This window comes from Homo sapiens, chromosome 10 (genome assembly GCF_000001405.40).
Source record: "Homo sapiens chromosome 10, GRCh38.p14 Primary Assembly".
In the NCBI taxonomy this organism is placed as follows: domain Eukaryota; kingdom Metazoa; phylum Chordata; class Mammalia; order Primates; family Hominidae; genus Homo; species Homo sapiens.
In genome coordinates, this window is record NC_000010.11 from 77,288,110 (window position 1) to 77,305,414 (window position 17,305).

General features: G+C 45.2%; 1 protein-coding gene across 56 annotated transcripts in view, besides 1 other annotated feature; it reads right to left on the bottom strand.

Annotated features, from left to right (window-relative positions):
• Positions 1–17,305, bottom strand: part of KCNMA1 (potassium calcium-activated channel subfamily M alpha 1) — a 768,207-nt gene that overhangs the window by 418,508 nt on the left and 332,394 nt on the right. The window contains exon 2 of one of the 56 annotated variants that reach the window (NM_001322838.2): positions 16,278–16,445. The exons of the other annotated variants lie outside the window; for them this stretch is intronic. The gene's annotated coding sequence lies outside the window, so the exon portion shown is untranslated. The remainder of the gene's footprint in view (positions 1–16,277; positions 16,446–17,305) is intronic. 56 annotated transcript variants of the gene reach the window in all.
• Positions 10,745–10,947: a silencer, noted in NCBI's record as "fragment chr10:79058612-79058814 (GRCh37/hg19 assembly coordinates)". NCBI's record gives its function as "represses an EF-1alpha promoter that drives an FKBP-Casp9 reporter gene in an ReSE screen in phorbol 12-myristate 13-acetate-treated (for megakaryocytic differentiation) K562 erythroleukemia cells {active_cell/tissue: K562(+PMA)}" and the evidence as "EXISTENCE:reporter gene assay evidence [ECO:0000049][PMID:32094911]".

Below are 17,305 nucleotides of genomic sequence, written 5' to 3' on the forward strand. Positions count from 1 at the left end.
GGGCACAGCAAATCACACTAAACACTGAAACTCTGCTGAAGTGACTCCAGTGACTTGGAGTTGTTGATCTAAAAATTGCTTATTCTTGCCTTGACAATAAAATCAGAGTCCAAGTTAATAAAGATTTCTAGTTAGCAAAGTCCCCAAGAGCAAACAGTTTATTCAGATCACCAGCTTTCTGCTTTGCAGTGTGAAGAGATTAAGGGTCCAGGGACACTCCTAGTTCTGGTTCTGCCTGTGTACATCACTGAGCCTTTGTAGACCTCAGCTTTATTCCCTGTGAGACTTAGACTGATCAGCAGTTCTCAATCTGAATGTGATGACAGAGTAGCAGAGGTGGCCGAATATAGAATCCTCAAAATTAACTTACAACCAAAGGCTGGTATCTGTCAGTAGCTTTACATGTATTGACTAATTTAATCTTCACAATAAACCTGTGAAGGAGGTACTATTATCATCCCTATTTTACCAGTGGGGTAACCAAGGCTCAGAAAGGCTGACAACATGCAAGGGTCACCCAGCCAGCCAGGTGCAGAGGTGAGACTAGGAATCATGTGGTCTGTCTCCAGAAATGCTGCTTTTAACTACTCAACTCTTCATAATCTAGTGCCTCTCAATAATGGTTAATAATAGCTATCAGTATGGCCAATTGATGGCCTGATTAGAGGAGATCTGAGGCTTGAAATAAAAGGCTACTGATACTCGCATTTTAACAAGCTTTTTTTGAGAGACAAAGAAGTGGAGTTTCATAACATAACCTGGAGTTTGCATCTCAAAAGTGAACACCATCCACAAGGCCAGGCAAGAAGAAAGGTTGGCACTGGCTGACCACACAATGTGGTTGGTTCCACCTCACTTAGCCATGGAGTCTATGATTCCTTGGTGCTATGAGAAAGAATGCTGCAATCTGCTCACTCTCATTTTGGGAGGACCAAAGCCCTGCCTAGCAGCAATGACAATCCTGGCCCTAACACAGCTGGGAGCCTCTTGACAGGCTTATCTCCTCCAGCTCCCCAGGAAGTCTCCCATTGGCTGTCAGATCAAGATCACCAAACCCATTCTCCTAATTAGCTCCTTGGCAGGCAAACCACACAGGAGCAGTTCCCTTTCCACCTTGAACCCAGCAGACAGTCCCACTCCCCAGCATCAGCCAGCCCCAAAGGCACAGGGCTCCCCTAAGGCCTGCATGCCCTAAGTGTCTGAGAGGACCCCATGACTACAGCACATGTCACTAAGTCCCTAACATTCCAATCATCAGCAGGCATCTGTAACTCCAGCCGGCGTCCCTCCAGGTATGCAAATGCCATCTGCCCTTACATGAGGGAAATGGACAGCAGCGGAAGTTACCAAGGGCCCACAAGGTGTCAGCATCTGGGACAGAAATGAAGTTCCCTCCCTATCACCAACTTCTCTTTTAAAGAACCACTCAAACCCTGCCAAGCTTGTACAAGAGGAGTAAATAACAAAATGACACAGATGACCCATAAAGGATGTATATTTGCTTAAATGAAATAATAGAGTACTTCACAAGTGCCTGGTCCATGTAAGACTTTTGTTTTGTTTTGTTTTAATGGCTATTTCAATATAACACTAATTTAATAGATATAGTTTAAATATAAGGGACTGTAAATAGAGTCTTCAAAATAGTACATCAAAAATTTCCTTCATGATGAAATAGATGGCCTACTATGCTTATCCAGAGTTATTCTTGCAAATTTCTACCTGTAGATATTGTTCGGCAAATAGGCAAGTTCAATTGATTGTTGATTTTAAATAAAAGTTCTAACTGAGAAAAAAAAAGTAAGCCCATAAGAGAAACCAGTTTCAAAAGGCCACATCCTGTGGATTCTCCTTATTTGACATTCTTGAAAAGATAAAGCTATGGTGATGAAAAACAGATCCCTGGCTGCCAGGGGTTAGAGATGGAAGGAGGCGGTTCGATGCGGTAAAGGCACAGTTCCACTGATTATAGTGGTGGTTACACGCCTCCATACATTTGTGAAAATTCATAGACCTACACACCAAATTTTTTTAAAAAGTCAATTTTATTTTATGATTACCTAAAAAATAAAAATGTTTACAAGGCCCATGAATTGGGTTGTCTCTAAAAGATGACTTTTCTTCATATTTCTTCCAAATTGGTTCATATTTAGAGCACTATTGATTATCTAACAAAATTTTAAATGGAAATAGTTGCAGTGGAGATTAAATGAAATAACATATTAAACTGCTTTTGAAATAAAAAGGGCATGGAGGATGTCATAGAAGTAGCGGTGCTTGCAGTAAGAAGTCAGATCAGACTTTACAACCTTGTTAAATGAGGGACTGAAGGCCTGGGGTCCCCACCACTCCTTCCCGTGAGCCAGTGCCCTTCGTACTCCACTTTCCTTATGTGTGAAAAGGGGCACCTGAGGAAGGGTTGTATCTTCAAGCACTTTAATCCCATTACCCAATTATTCACGTGCACAGACCCATAATTGGGAGTTAGATGTTTTCCTTCAGTGCTCAAAATAGAGCAAGTTTGTCCCTCAAAACCAAAAGTACTCAGGTCATGAATGAAGGCTGAAGAAATTCTGATCTGGCGGGAAATTCCACTTTCTGACAACCCTGATGGTACCTCTGAAAAAAACAAACACAATGACTGCTTTTGAAGGGCAGGAGACAGAAAGACTTAACCAGTACTTTTCAAAGGGAGGAAAATTCTGTGTCATCGTAAGCTTGAATAAACCCAGTGCTGTGAATTGCCAAAGGAGAGGTTAACTGTTTTGAAAGCTGTGGCATTTTTCTCATCAGTGTCTCATGAGGCTGGCCAGGAGGGGCAGTTGGAAAGAAGGCTCGGAGATTTGATATTCAGGAAGTCCACCAGACATGCAGCATTCTTGACAAGATGCCTTTCACCTAATGTCATATTAGCAATTCAGACAGAAACCCAGGAAAGTTAGCACACACATATGCCCCACGCTACACATGAGCCCTCCTCCCAAACCACAGCTTCCCGTGCCTCTCTTCCCCATGAATTTAGTACCAGCCTCCAAGGGTTTCTGCCTTCCTTTCTGCAAGTCAATTGAAGTAACTTCCAGAAATGCCTTAATTACAGGCCAGTATCACTGTCATTAGAGGTTTAAATAAAAAGTCCCCGGATTCTAACCTGCTGAGATTTCTTGTATGAAATGTACTTACGGAACTTTGATAAAGTACCAGTCAACTCTAACACTTAAATGGGAAAAACTGTTGCAGCTCAAAATTCAACTCTCATGCAAAACTCCAGGGATGAGGCAGCAAAGGTACCACCTCAGCAAGAAGAAAAAGGAAGAGAGAAAAAAGAAAAACAGGTACTCCATAAATTACCCACATAAATCAGTTTAGGCAGACTACAATTTTTTTTAACACAGAAAACGCTTAAAGGAAAATTCACAGAAAATCCATGATTACTCCTTTAGCAGGGCGAAATGTCCCAATAAGAAGGAGATGTATTAATGGGTGGCCAACCACCTCTTTTGCTCCAGTCGCCTTCCGTGGAGAATAATCAACAGAAGGAAATCTAAAAATCAACATAGAGAGGCTGCGGTGAGCTGCTTCATGGGTCCTGGGATAGGGGGCATCTGAACTATTTCCCAGCGTCTGGGGGAAAAGGAGTGAACATTTTCAAGTGCCTCATATGTGCTGGTGCTTTACTTGGGCTGTTTATTTCATTTTTTCATGTTCTTTCAAGGTGTTCTTAATTCTGCCTTACAGACCAGTGGAGGCTCCAGTATGTTAGATAAATTCCCCAGGGGCACCAGTTAAGGATCACTAGGAATGCGGAATTCCCCTCCAGCTCAGCTCTGCCCTGAACATCTTGATGCCAGGAGTAAATTCAGGGCTCTGAGAAGGGTCCCAAATGTTACAAACTTTAAAATTGAACTAAGGGATGAAAGTTTAAAATTGTCTTCAAAGGAATTCCTCAAGTAACATAACCCTGCACATATAAAAGTGTCAGCAGGCTCAGATTAAAGGGCTCATGAAAGAGGGTTATTTCCAGAGATAAGAATCCTTCATCCTCCTCTGGGCAGGGCAGCAGAGATAGAAGGCACAGCCGGCTGAGACCCCGCCGGGCCTCAGGAAGTCTCCACTGTTAAACCCAGCCTGCAAAGCCCTTCCCTCTTAGGGATCCACTCCATTAGAGTTGACCTGAAAGCTGACTCCTTTGGAGTGGTGCGTTCCATTAATTCATCCATCCAACAATTGCTTGCTGAGGACCTAGTATGTGTCAAGACAGCTGGAGATAGAGCAAGGCACCAGTCATTTCAGTGTTTTCAGATGAATTCCCCACCTATTGCCTGCTCTATTCTTAATCACAGGGGCGGCCCCCACTATGTTTTCTGGCACTGTTGCCAACTGGATCATACTGGATTTGGCCAGTGGAAGCACTGGGCAAAGCCCAGAGGGCGGAAGGAAGGGAGAAGTTGGAACCTGTCCCTCTCCTGTCTGTTCTTCAGCCATGATTAGGTCTCCTCCATGATACCACCTCCTCTTTTTGTCCTTCCAGGCCCCAGCTCCTTTCTCTTGTCAACCTCCGGGTTGCCCTACAGTGACCTACTTAGCCATTCCACTCTTCTGATGCTAGGGTAATAGTTCCCTACATTAAATATACTCTCTTGAGCCACTTTGTTTTCCTGGCTGGGTTCTGACCTCTACAAGCATTGAATCTGACTAACCAGATCCCTGCCCTCTTAGAACTTACATTCCAGTGGGCAGGAATACAATAAGCAAGTAAGCATTCAAATACATGAATAAGAACAGTTCCTGATCATGTTAGGATTATGAAGGAAATTAGCATCGAGGTGGCAGGATTTGGGGATGGAGAGCTATATCAGCTGGTAAGGGGATATCTCTGCTGAGATCTGAAGAACGCAATGGATCTACCTTTGAAAGGCCAGGAGAAGAGCATGGCAGGCAGAGGGAACAGTAGGTCAAAGGTCTCCCAGGAAGAACTAGCTTGGTGTGCTTCAAGAGCCTCCAGAAGCCAATGTGGCCAATGCATCTGAGCAATGGGGGATGTGTCAGGGGCCAATGCCATGGGAAGGAGTTTGGAACTTACAATTGATTTCATTTACATTTAAAAAGATCACTTTGGCCAATGTATAGGGAATTTTCCTCATTGTTTATAAAGAGAGACCCTTAATGCCTCACCCTGTCCAGGCATATCCCCATCTTGAAGGTCTAAGAGAGAGCTACCCCTCCTAATGAGTTTGCACAACAAGAATGGGGGGGACAACCATAGCTCCTAAAGCATGGTTCTGAGGGAGAAACGGTGGTTCCCTTGATATCAGCTCTACCATGTTCTGAGGCCATGGTACAGAAGAGGTAACCATTCATGTGCATGACAGCCCTGACTCTAAGGGGCATTGTGGGTTCCTTTCTTAACCATTCTGGAAGGTTCCTGGTGAAAGGACTGATGCACATCCACATAGCCTTGCATTCCAAGGTGATCCACTGGACCGTCTAGACTTTTATCTCTGGACCCTGGGAGTTGCAGACACTGTATCAGAACCTCCAACCTTCCCCTTGGCCTGCCAGAAAGCTGAAAGTTTCCATGCCTCTGCTTTCCAGCTCTTTCTCTGCTACATCAGAGAGCCCCTTTCTCATGTCCTCAAAGTGACAAATGTATGCTGCCAAGCAAGGCTGAGGGAAAGAAGGAAATAGAAATGCAGTCCCCATCATGCATTCTTTCCCAAAATGCGACTAATCTGGCATTTAGGTTGTTTGCTCCTTTAATCAGAATGCCATTAAGAAATCTCTGCCGGGTTTCTGTACACAGTTTTTCTCTAATGAAGCATCAAATCTCTTTCACAAACAATAGCTGTGTCACATCCAAGCACCCTGGCCCCAGCCGGTGTGGCTGCAGTCTCTGCTAAATGTGCTGCCTCTTTCAGGTCTGTTCCTCCCAGAATAGCCCGCCACTGCGGTACTCAAATCAAAGTCTCGACACTGTCTAGCTCCAGCAACGTGGACAGACAAAAGAAATCAGAGGTTTTCAAGAAGACATAGTGCTGTGTCCCTAGAATTTGACAGAATAGCTTGGAATATGATGTTTAATGAATAGCCTTTCTAGTGAACATGTTTGTCCTGGCTTCAACTCTGGGCCCAGGTTTGCAGTGGCTCACCCAATGGGTGTACTTATCATCCTTGACTTAACCCCCAACTAGTGAGCTATTTCCTGGAGGGTGGACCTTGTCAGAGGCAGAACTATAATGAGATGTCCCCAGAGCTATTAGTGAATAACATGGCAGAGCCCTGCTGAGCATGGTGTTTGACCAGGCCCAGGTGCCATGGTCTCTAAGCATATGTTCATATATACATCTTGGAAGGCAATGCAGCAACAACTATCATTATTTAAGGTGCACATAACCTGGGACCCAAAAATGCCATTCATAGGAGTTTACCCCATAGATACACTGGCACATGTGTGCAAAGACCAATGTAAGAATGCATTTGCTGTTACATTGTTTATTACAGCACAAGATTAGAAACAATGTTACAATCAGGGCCAGGCACAGTGACTCACGCCTGTAATCCCAGCACTTTGGAAGGCTGAGGTGGGCGGGTCATCTGAGGTCAGGAGTTCGAGGCCAGGCTTGCCAACATGGTGAAACCTTGTCTCTACTAAAAATACAAAAACTAGCCAGGCCTGGTGCCACACGCCTGTAATCCCCTCTACTTGGGAGGCTGAAGCAGGAGAATCTCTTGAACCCAGGAGGTGGAGGTTGCAGTCAGCCGAGATTGTGCCACTGCACTCCAGCCTGGACAACAGAGCAAGACTCTGTCTCAAAAAAAAGAAAAGAAACAATCTATTGATAAGGGGCTCCCAATTACATATATTTGGATACACCAATGCAAAGTAAAAATATGTTGTAGCTGTTTTTAAAGGCAGGTATATAGGTCTGATGTGAATAGATCATTAAGAAATAGTGTGAGGCCGGGTGTGGTGGCTCAGGACTGTAATCCCAGCACTTTGGGAAGCCAAGGTGGGCAGATCACCTGAGGACAGGAGTTCAAGACCAGCCTGGCCAACATGGTGAAACCCTGTCTCTACTAAAAATACAAAAATTAGCCAGCAAGGTGGTGCATGCCTATAATCCCAGCTACTCCAGAGGCTGAAGCAGGAGAATCACTTGAATCCCGGAGGCAGAGGTTGCAGTGAGCCGAGATCATGCCACTGCACTCTAGCCTGGACAACAAGAGTGAAACTCGGTCTCAAAAAAAAAAAAGAGAGTAGTGTGAAAGTGCACCATCATTTTTTAAATGGGAAAATTATACATAGACACGCATATATGTGTGCACATACGCTTGTATGTGCATAGATTCTCACTGAAAGTGTACACTAGAGATTGTTAATAAACAGTTTTCAGGCCGGGCGCGGTGGCTCACGCCTGTAATCCCAGCACTTTGGGAGGCCGAGGCGGGTGGATCATGAGGTCAGGAGATCGAGACCATTCTGGCTAACAAGGTGAAACCCCGTCTCTACTAAAAATACAAAAAATTAGCCGGGCGCGGTGGCGGGCGCCTGTAGTCCCAGCTACTCGGGAGGCTGAGGCAGGAGAATGGCGTGAACCCGGGAGGCGGAGCTTGCAGTGAGCCGAGATTGCGCCACTGCAGTCCACAGTCCGGCCTGGGCGACAGAGCGAGACTCCGTCTCAAAAAAAAAAAAAAAAAAAAAAAAAAAAAACAGTTTTCAGCTCTGGGAAGGAAAAATGGGGCATTAGAAACTGGGGATGAAGAGATATTTTAAAGTATATGATTTCAAACAAATTAACTTTTTTTTATTTTTACAAGTACATACTTAATCTCTTTAAAAGTAATTTTGTAAAAGGGCAAAATGCAGTGCTCCCTGAGGCTCTGGTAAATAAACCGAGAAATCACTGACTGGAAGTTGTGGTAGATAAAATAATGACCCTCAAAGATGCCAGTATCTTAATCCCAAGAACCCATGAATATGTGACCTTACATGGCAAAAGGGGTTTGCTGGTGTGATTAAGTTAAGGATCTTGAAATGGGGAGATTGTCCTTGATTATCCAGGTGGGCCCACTGTAATCACTAGGTCTTTATAAAAGGGAGGTAGAGGGTCAGAATCAGAGAAGAAGATGTGCCAACAGAAGCAAAAGTAAGAAGTGATGTGAGGAAGGGGCCATGGACCAAAAAGTGTAGGCAGTCTCTAGAGGCTAGAAAAGGAAAGGAAGCAGAGTCTTCCCAGAGCCAGCCTCCAGTCCTGCTGACACTTTGACTTTAGCCCAGTGAGATGATTTGGGATTCTGACCCCCCAAATCTGTAAGACAATAAATTTATATTGTTGCAGCCACTAAGTTTGTGGTAATTTGTTACAGCAGCAACAGGGAACTAATATGGAGGTAAACCTTTTAAAACCAACTAATTCATGTGTCAGAAGGGGGACCATCAGCCATGCTTACCCAAGTGGAGGCTCATCACCCTTGATTGATCATTCTGCTGGGGACAGGACAGATTTTCCATAACACTATCAGTTCCAATGAAAGCTGATGTATGAAAAACATCTCCCTTAGTTGGTCTGATGGTAGCAGTCTCCTGGATAGAACTGCCATCCCAGACCCACACTGGGGTGAGCTTGGCAGCCATCTGGCCTCATCACTATGCTCTTCACAGAATGCTATCTCCACTCTAGCATGTGTCTGTCTCATTTATCAAGCTGATGACATGGCGGTATGAAAAAAACAGATGAGAGGTCCTACCTGCCGATCTGCTCCAAAGAGATTATAAAATCTAAGAGGAATGCCTGGGTGTGTGGGCGGGGGGGCGGTGGGGGAATGTAGAGAAGAACAAAGTTCCTTCTGGAGCTTTGGGAAAGCCGTTTGTGAGCCTGGACTTCCCCCAGCCTTTGAATCATTAATCTGGTTGTACCCAAGACATCCAACAGGGTGCAGACTTGCCTCATTGCTCCAGAAGCTGAGACCACCCCCGTAACTTGTGAGGACGGAGGTCCTACCCCCTGTGAAGAAGGCTGAGACACAGAGAAAACTGAGAGATTAAATTTATAATCATAACCTTCCTCTGGCTTCCAGAGAACTACAAAACAAGGACACATTCCCACTGTCTCTTGTCCCAAGAGTAGAGCCAAACCAAATAGCCTCACCATACCCAACATTATGCAACTTGAAGCCCAATCAATTGGCTCCACCCACATTTCATCTACAGGACATTGTTGCCAAACTTCTTAGGTATCTTCAATATGAGATTTTTAAAGAGCTAAAGATATAACAGAAAAAGCCTCAATGGAAATTTTACGGCTATTTTCTTTTGCGGCTCAGGGAACATAAGCTTTTATCATTTTCCTTCATTCAAGTAACAGCTTTGCCCTAGCTCCATGGTTGTCATGCATGGTCCATGGTGCTGCTTTGATGATTTATAACCAGCTGAGTCATCATCTCACTAAGTCAAAAGAGATTAGTATGTGAACCTATTTGGTAAACTGTAAGGCACTACACACGTCTGGTGGCAAGGCTTGTAAAGCTCTAAATACACGCATAATTAATGTGACTACTCCCCAAGACAGATGGTATAAAGGAGACGACCTCTACCTATGAAAGGAAGGGGAGAAGAAAAGATCAAAACCACCTCCTTCTCCAGCCAAGCTATGTTTGCTCTCCCATTCCTCTCCTTACTCCCAAGATCTAAACATGACAGGAGTGGAGAAGGGAAGATGTCTTTAATTTCCTGGTTAATTTCTCCTGCCTGGATTCCAAGATGGAGACCCAAAGGGAGACCTGTGTGATAACTGGCCCTCAAAGGAGTGCACACAGTAGACCCAGGAGCAACAGCAAAAGTTGCTGACTAAACCTGGGGACAGCAATTGGTATCCATCCCTCAGGCATTTACTTTGCCTTTTCCTCACCAGTCAACTTCAAGGCCCTTGAAGTTGTCAAGAAACTGGCAACCTAGACATTTATATCCAAACCAGATCCAAGAATTGTATCGTAAGAATGGAACAATAATTGAACCTTGTGTCCCCTGCTAAACCAGAGAGAGCTTGTCAACAAAAAGGACTGAGAGAAGAATCCTGGGGAACGGGCTAATGAGAAAGGCTACCTGAACCTTCAGAAATACCTGGGGAGCTTATTTTATTTATTTATTTATTTTGAGACAGAGGTTCACTCTCAACGCCCAGGCTGGAGTGCAGTGGTGTGATCTCGGCTCACTGCAACCTCCACCTCCTGGGCTCAAGCGATTCTCCTGCCTCAGCGTCCCGAGTAGCTGGGCTACAGGCATTCACCACCACGCTCAGCTAATCTTTGTACTTTTAGCAGAGACAGGGTTTCGTCATGTTGGCCAGGCTCGTCTCGAACTCCTGACCTCAGGTGATCCACCCAACTTGGCCTCCCAAAGTGCTGGGATTACAGGTGTGAGCCACCGTGCCCAAACTTGCAGCTTATTTTAAATGGATGTCTGGGCTGCACTGCAGATCTATGGTGATAAGGCAGGAGGGGGCACCCTAACTGAAAAAAAAATCTCCAGATGATTCCAATACCCAGCTGAGTTTAGGTCCTACCACATTAGGTGACCTCCCAAAGGTCCCCTCATTTGATTTCCCTCCCACTTCCACACTGAACACCAGCAAGTCCAGAGAGAAATGGCCCTCGGCATCCAGCAGAGTTCTTTCCAGTGCCCGCCAGAGTGATGGCCACCAAACCTTCCTCCAGACTGGCTCCCATTGTGTGCAGGGCAGGCAGGACAGTCTGTAAGAGATCATCACTGTGGACAATCGGGGAAGGAGCTGGCCTGGGCAGAGACTGCCCTGAACATTCATGGGACCTGCGCCCCAGAGCATCAGATGGGCCTCTCTGCTGAAGGAATAATAAATATGTCTTTTGAACAACTGATTTTGTTGTTGTTGTGTTTCCACACATATATGTTCACCAGTGCTGGTTTCATAGTAGTTCAGTCGTACTGCACAGGTGAGCTAGGGGGCTTTCTTAAAAGCCAGAAGACTATTTAAATTTAGATTTGCATGCTGAAATGGAGCAACTTTTGGCATGTGATAAAGATGGGGAAAGTTGAAGACCACACCCTGCAACGCCCTCCCTGACTTACTACTACCACCCATCATCTCCCATTAAAAGAAACAAAACAAAACATCATTCTAATGCCAGTTAAACGTTGCATGTATTGATTAAGCCTTCCCTCCCATCTGAAATTCTCCCTAAGGAGTAACATTTTAAAGCTTGCAGTGAGGGTCCTAAGGAGGCTGCTGCTTTGACAGCCTGCATGAGCAGCAGAAGGGACCTTGCTCCCTAGGCCAGCATCTGGATTTCCCATCTGGCCCACGCCTGCAGCTGCGTAACCCTCTGGCCCCCCTCCAACGTGCCTCAAAATGTTATTTCACATTTTGGGTCCAAATGGACACTTTCTGAGAAGTCGGTGTAACCTATCAAGCTTTGGAAACAAGTTTAAGTTGTTTTTGTACTTTCCATTACCCAGGTTGTTCTGGAACGCAGCTCTAAGAGGTTCAGCTTGCCACCACGTCAAGGAATTTGAGAAAAGGGAAAAACAAAGAGGGGGAAAGCCTGCACAAGAAGACCGAGGGTCTGGAAATCAGAACCTGGTGTTTTCCAAAGGTCCTGTTCAGCCTACACTCCCCTTTTCCATTTCTGCCATGCTGTTGGGGCAAACTGGCATGGGAAGTAGGGGCTTTTGTCCTAAAGGCATAGCATCAAGGTCCCCAGAGCTACAAGGCTCTCCAATTCCTTCTCCCTGGTCCCGTATCATCAGACAAACCCAATAGAGTGATTCTCTAACATGCTGTGCTCAGAAAGGTGAAAGAACCACCAGGCGTGGTAGGGAGGCTGTGTCCACTGTTCAGCCCAGTCAGTGTGGCTTCTCTCCCTGGGCTGGGCTCCATCAGCTCATGCTGAGCCTCTGTGGCATTAGAAAAAATAATCCCTTGGCCTCAGGGCCTGCTAAGGGACTTCAAGCCAGATTTCATTCCCATTCACTTCCTAAGCCAGGTACCCTGTGCAGGGCATGAGAGCCAGTGGACAGGACGCCCCTGCACTTGGGAGATTCGGTACCCTGATTAAGGGAAAGCCACCTCCCTGGCTCTGGGGAAGGTAAGAGACCTGAGAAAGCAACAGCCTTGGATCTCACTACATTTTGTGGGCTACTTCTGAAAACCACACTTTGAATTCCAGTCCCATCACTGACCAGCTCTGGACTACCTGTGACTTTGAATAAGCTATTCAATCTGTGCCTCAACTCCCTCCCCCATACAATGGGGAGGATGTTAGCATCTATCTCACAGGTAGAGTTGTTGTGAGGACTAGGCAGAGTAATCCATATAAGGCACTCTATCATTATGTTGTTAGATCAGTTTCAAGAAGCACATTTTCCAACATAAAATGATTTGTGAAACTGAGATCTTATAATCAGTCCATATGTTAATACATACTTAATAGAGTTTTCTCCCACCGCATCCTCCAAAACAGCAGGTATTAAATCAATGGTGCATCTTTCTCATCAACGTATTTGAGTTAAGAAAATATGGTCTTTTAATTACCATTTCATGCATAGTAATGGCTGCAATGTTAAAGACTCACTTCTTCCTGGGTAATTTTGCAGCATAGTCTCTACCAGCACCCCTGGGGATGTAGGTGCCTACCAAGCCACCATCTCCTTTCTTCTCCAGCCCCTCTGGACTCCTTCAGGTGCTCTCAAACCTAAACTCATAAAATCCTTGCCAGATCCTTAGGGAGCATCCAACAAGTGGTTCTGAGCCCGAGCTGCTCACAGAAATCCTAGGGCACTCGCTGGCCCCACAGGTTCTGATTCCATTAATGGAAGTGAGGCCCGGGCATCAGCATTTTTAAAAGCTCCCCAGATGGTTGTAACATGCAGTGGAATCAAGAACTCTGGCTCCAGTCTGTCCCCACCTCCATCTGATGCCTGAAATCCCCTCAATCCCTGCAGCTAATGAGTAGCTGGCCAGCCTCTTCCAGGAGAATCAAAACTTCACTGACTTAGGTTGCAGAACACCATAATAAAGCAGAGGTTCTTCCTCAGGCAGTGTCTTTGTTGTTCTGAGATAAAGAAAAAGACCTTGAAGGCAATTCTAAGCTGGGAAATGAGAAAACCTGCCTCAAATGGAGTCCTTCTTCCCAGCCATCTTAAGCTCAGATACCTGGAATTTATTTATTTTGAACTTTGTAGAAATCTTTTGACTTACAAATGACCTAATTCTCTAAACTAGCTATGCTGAGAATGCAAGATAACTTTTATGCTGGCTTGATTCCATAAGAAATAGTGACTCATAAGGATCATCATCAGAAATAAATTTCTCAAAACTTTTAAGTAAATCTGTTTCTAGGTAAACTTGATGGACTTTTGAAGGATTATATTTCCCCCTTCTTTTTCCTCTTGCATCCATACCAAGCTCTTTTCTTTATGGCAGACCTTGTTTCCTCTCCATCTTCTACTTTCATAGATACAGTCCATCAAATCATACACATGACTCATTTCACCAACCACGAAGATTCTACCATGCACTGGAGAATTAGTGAGTTGGCTTCAACTGCACTTCAATTGACGCCCCGGAGGTGGGTAAGCATACATTTCCACATGTATGCAGATAGAAAAATATCTGATTGGGCACTAAATGTTTAATTCTCTGAGAAATTGGCAATCCAGTGAGAAAGCTACGCTAGGCATCCTAGATGCTTTTAGATCACAGTAATGGAAGCATCTCACAACAGCCTAATGTTTTCAACCCATCAGAAAGCAGAGTCCCAGAGAGCCTATGGGGACTCAAAACAAACCCAACTAAAGCCAGGTGGAGTGACCTCTCATCTCAGACTCCAAGGCTTGGGAGTAGGAATGGGCAAAGTGGAGACAAGCTGCCAAATATTAGGGGTGCGCCATGTCCTACATGTTGGATGGGCCCTTTACACATGCCATCTCCTTTAACTTCCTTCTCACAGTAAGTGGGGAGACAGAGATTAGAATCAGGCTCGCATAAGGTCACAAAGATAGTAAACAGCAGACCTAGGACTTAGCCCTGGTCCCTCTGATTTCCAAGCTTCCTTCCACCAAATGGTGGAGTAACTTGCTCCCAATCCATGGATCCAGACCTGGGAAAGGGGCTGCTTCTCTGAGCTCCAGGAGCTATTGGTTGAGAATCCTCTCTTTTTTGCATCCCTGGGTTGCTGCCCACCCCCATACTGCTCCTTAAGCACTTAATTAATGGTGTCCTGTGGCCAGTCCTGATGATGCAGTTTTTCTTGGTCACTCTGTGGGCCACAGACTTGCAGCTGCCAATTCCCCCTACAAGCATTGCTCGGGTCCAGGCCCACTGTAGGAGACACCCTGACTACTCCGGTGCAGATCTCACAGCTACCATGACTGTTTGTTCAGCCCCCACATTCTCCAGGGTCCCAATTTCTTGTCCCACATTCAAAAAGAATGAGGTTATGCTGCCAGCCAGTGGGTGAGCAAGGTGAAAAGTTTTATTAACTGATGAAACAGCTGTCAGCAGAGAGGGGACGTGAGAATTGTCTACCACCCAAAGTCAGGTAGTCTCTGTGTCCCAGTGTGGCTGAGTCCAGGGTTTTTATGGGCTCAGAAAGGGGATGGATACTGATTGGTCTGTGAGTATGCAAAAAAAGGCAACAGTGTAAAAACCAATTGGGGAAGGGTGGGTATAGGTGAAGAGGTGGGGGTTAATCAGAGGAAAGCATGCCAAATGGGAAGAGAGGTTCTCAATCCAGTCTGTGGATTTATCCAAGACTTGTAGCTTGGCTTTCAGACTTTAAACTGGCTTTGGTTTGCAGGGGGGGGTTTCACTGGGGACTCACCTGTGTTTGCCTAGGGATTTGTCTACCTCCTGCTGTATCACTGAGTTCAAATCCCCATTCTACCACTTGCCAGCTGTGTAGCCTTGGGAAAATTACTAACCTCTCTGGCCTCAGTTTCTCCATGTTTGAGGTGGAAATAATAATACCTACTCTGCTCTGAACACTAAATGAGCTCATTTACGATGGCATTTAGAAGAGTGGACAGAAGTGAATGTTCCTTCTCCCATTATTCATATTGACTCCACCAGTACTGTCTCACAGGGTCACTGTATCATGGCATCCATCTTTCCATGGGTACATGTCTTGTATAGTCCTTAGGGGAAGGTCTTGTTCTTCTCTCCTCTCCTCAGGGTCCACTCACTTATGCATTATCTCATAAAGGATACTGAAGCCCATTGAGGGCATTTCCTAATCTGAAGGGGCCTCTGATAGACTTCTACTACTTAAGTCTCCCATCACTTTCCCACCCTTAACCCCATTCTAGAAAAACCCATAGGTAAACAGAGTATACCTGATTTTCTAATACCCATTGAATATTTTATATTTGTTTTTATACTTTGCAATGAAGAATGTTTCAGTAAATTTCCTAAAGGAAACAAAAAACTCATAGATGATATAAGTAAGCCATGTCACCCCTGGGCTTCCTCCACCTTCCACTGTGTACTACAGGCAGCACAGTCCCTCCCATGCTGTGCTCTGACCTTGCCTGACCTTGCCACCCTGAGTGTGACCTGCAGACCAGCAGCATCAGCATACCCAGGAAGTCAGTTAGAAATGTGAATTCTTGGGCCACAGACTTAAAGACTCAGAATTTGAGCCCATGGATTCTTGCTTCAGGGTCTGTGCTCTTCGCCACCACACTACACTGTTTCTCTTTATCAGCAATGAAATTGAGAACAGACTCATTGCAAGACGCTCATTGTCAGCTCCGTCCTCTACTGACTTCAAAACATCATCAGCTTTTCACATTAAATTTGTTTATCACCCGTCTCAGATACTATCTTTGATATCAGAGGTAAGACTGGCATTGTGGACAGATGTTTTCATGCCTTGACCCAAAAGGGTAACAAACATGGATACTGCAGGCCAACACGAAGGAATTGTGTTGATGGGCCATAAGAACCACAATGGGTCCCTTAAACCACACCTCAGCTACCTGATTTCCTGCACATAGGGCCAGAAATATACTAAGGGGAAAATGGTAGAAGGGAAAATGAGAACAAGAAAGAATGAGATACCCTGCAGGTGTCTTCCTCTACTAGGGAGGCCCCTGAGAAATGACTGAATGTTTTTAGCAAAAGATTAGAAGAATAATATTATCTTGCCATCTGTTATTGCTTATAGAGAGCCAATAAGTGTGTCTTAGAGATTCTGAGTTCCAGGGATGATCCCACTCAGGTTCCCTGACCCACTGTGAGTCATACCTCCATAGCAGAGGGGCCCCTAACCCCAGGATTTCCATGCCTTCTGCAAGCTGGTCTTTTAGATTTCATCAGCAGTCAGTCCTGTGGCCATGGAACGGGGAATGATCGATGACAGCCCACTGAAGGAGGACCTTCTTCTTGTTTGCTTGGTTCTGGGGAATGCATCTCCTAGGCAGGAGCAACACGTGCCATAATGGTAAAATAATTTGGGAAAAAATGGCAAAAAATATTTGCTTTTGCCTTAAATCTACCAAAAGTGGATCACAGGTTGAAAACTGCCTGATCTTGGTCGTTCGAAGCCCCTGAGTGGCTCAGTATTTGAACTCAGTGCAGCCCTGAGCAACCAATTAATATTTGCCCAGTGGGCAGGATTGACTTCAGTTACCTAAAGATGTTACTACTGCTCTTCTGGTTGCCCAGAGATTCCCACACCCCGTGTGCAGCACAGATCCAGCAGAGACTCCTTGCCAAAGGCCATTGCGGTCCAAGACCCCAAAGAGGAAGGCTCCAGAGGTGACTGCTGCTTGGGAAGTCAATATCGGACATGAGTGCTAGAACCAAGGTAATGCTTCCCAGACTTCACTATGCCCACCAGAGACCTGGAGAGCTTGTTAAAATTTTGACTGCTGGGCCAAGAGAGCTGGGGCTGAACCTGAGAATCTACATTTCTAACAAGTCTCCAGGGGATGGTGGTCGATGGACCACACTGAGAAGCACCATGTCTGAAAATCTTTTGAGCCAAACATTTTATTTCACCAATGAAGAATTTGGGACCAGAGAGGCTAACTAGTATGTCCAAAATCACCCAGCACATCAGTGACAGGGTTGGGACCAGGTGCCCTGACTCCTAGTTTCCACTGTGTTCCCACTCTATCAGCTTACCTTAAAACAGCAATCGTCATAGTCATTTTATGAACTATAACTCATTTTGAGTACCAAATGCTTTTCCTATTTCCTCTTCTTTATCTTTATAATCACCCTTTGAGGTTGAGGGCATGGGTCTCAACTTATAGAGAAAGAAACGAAGG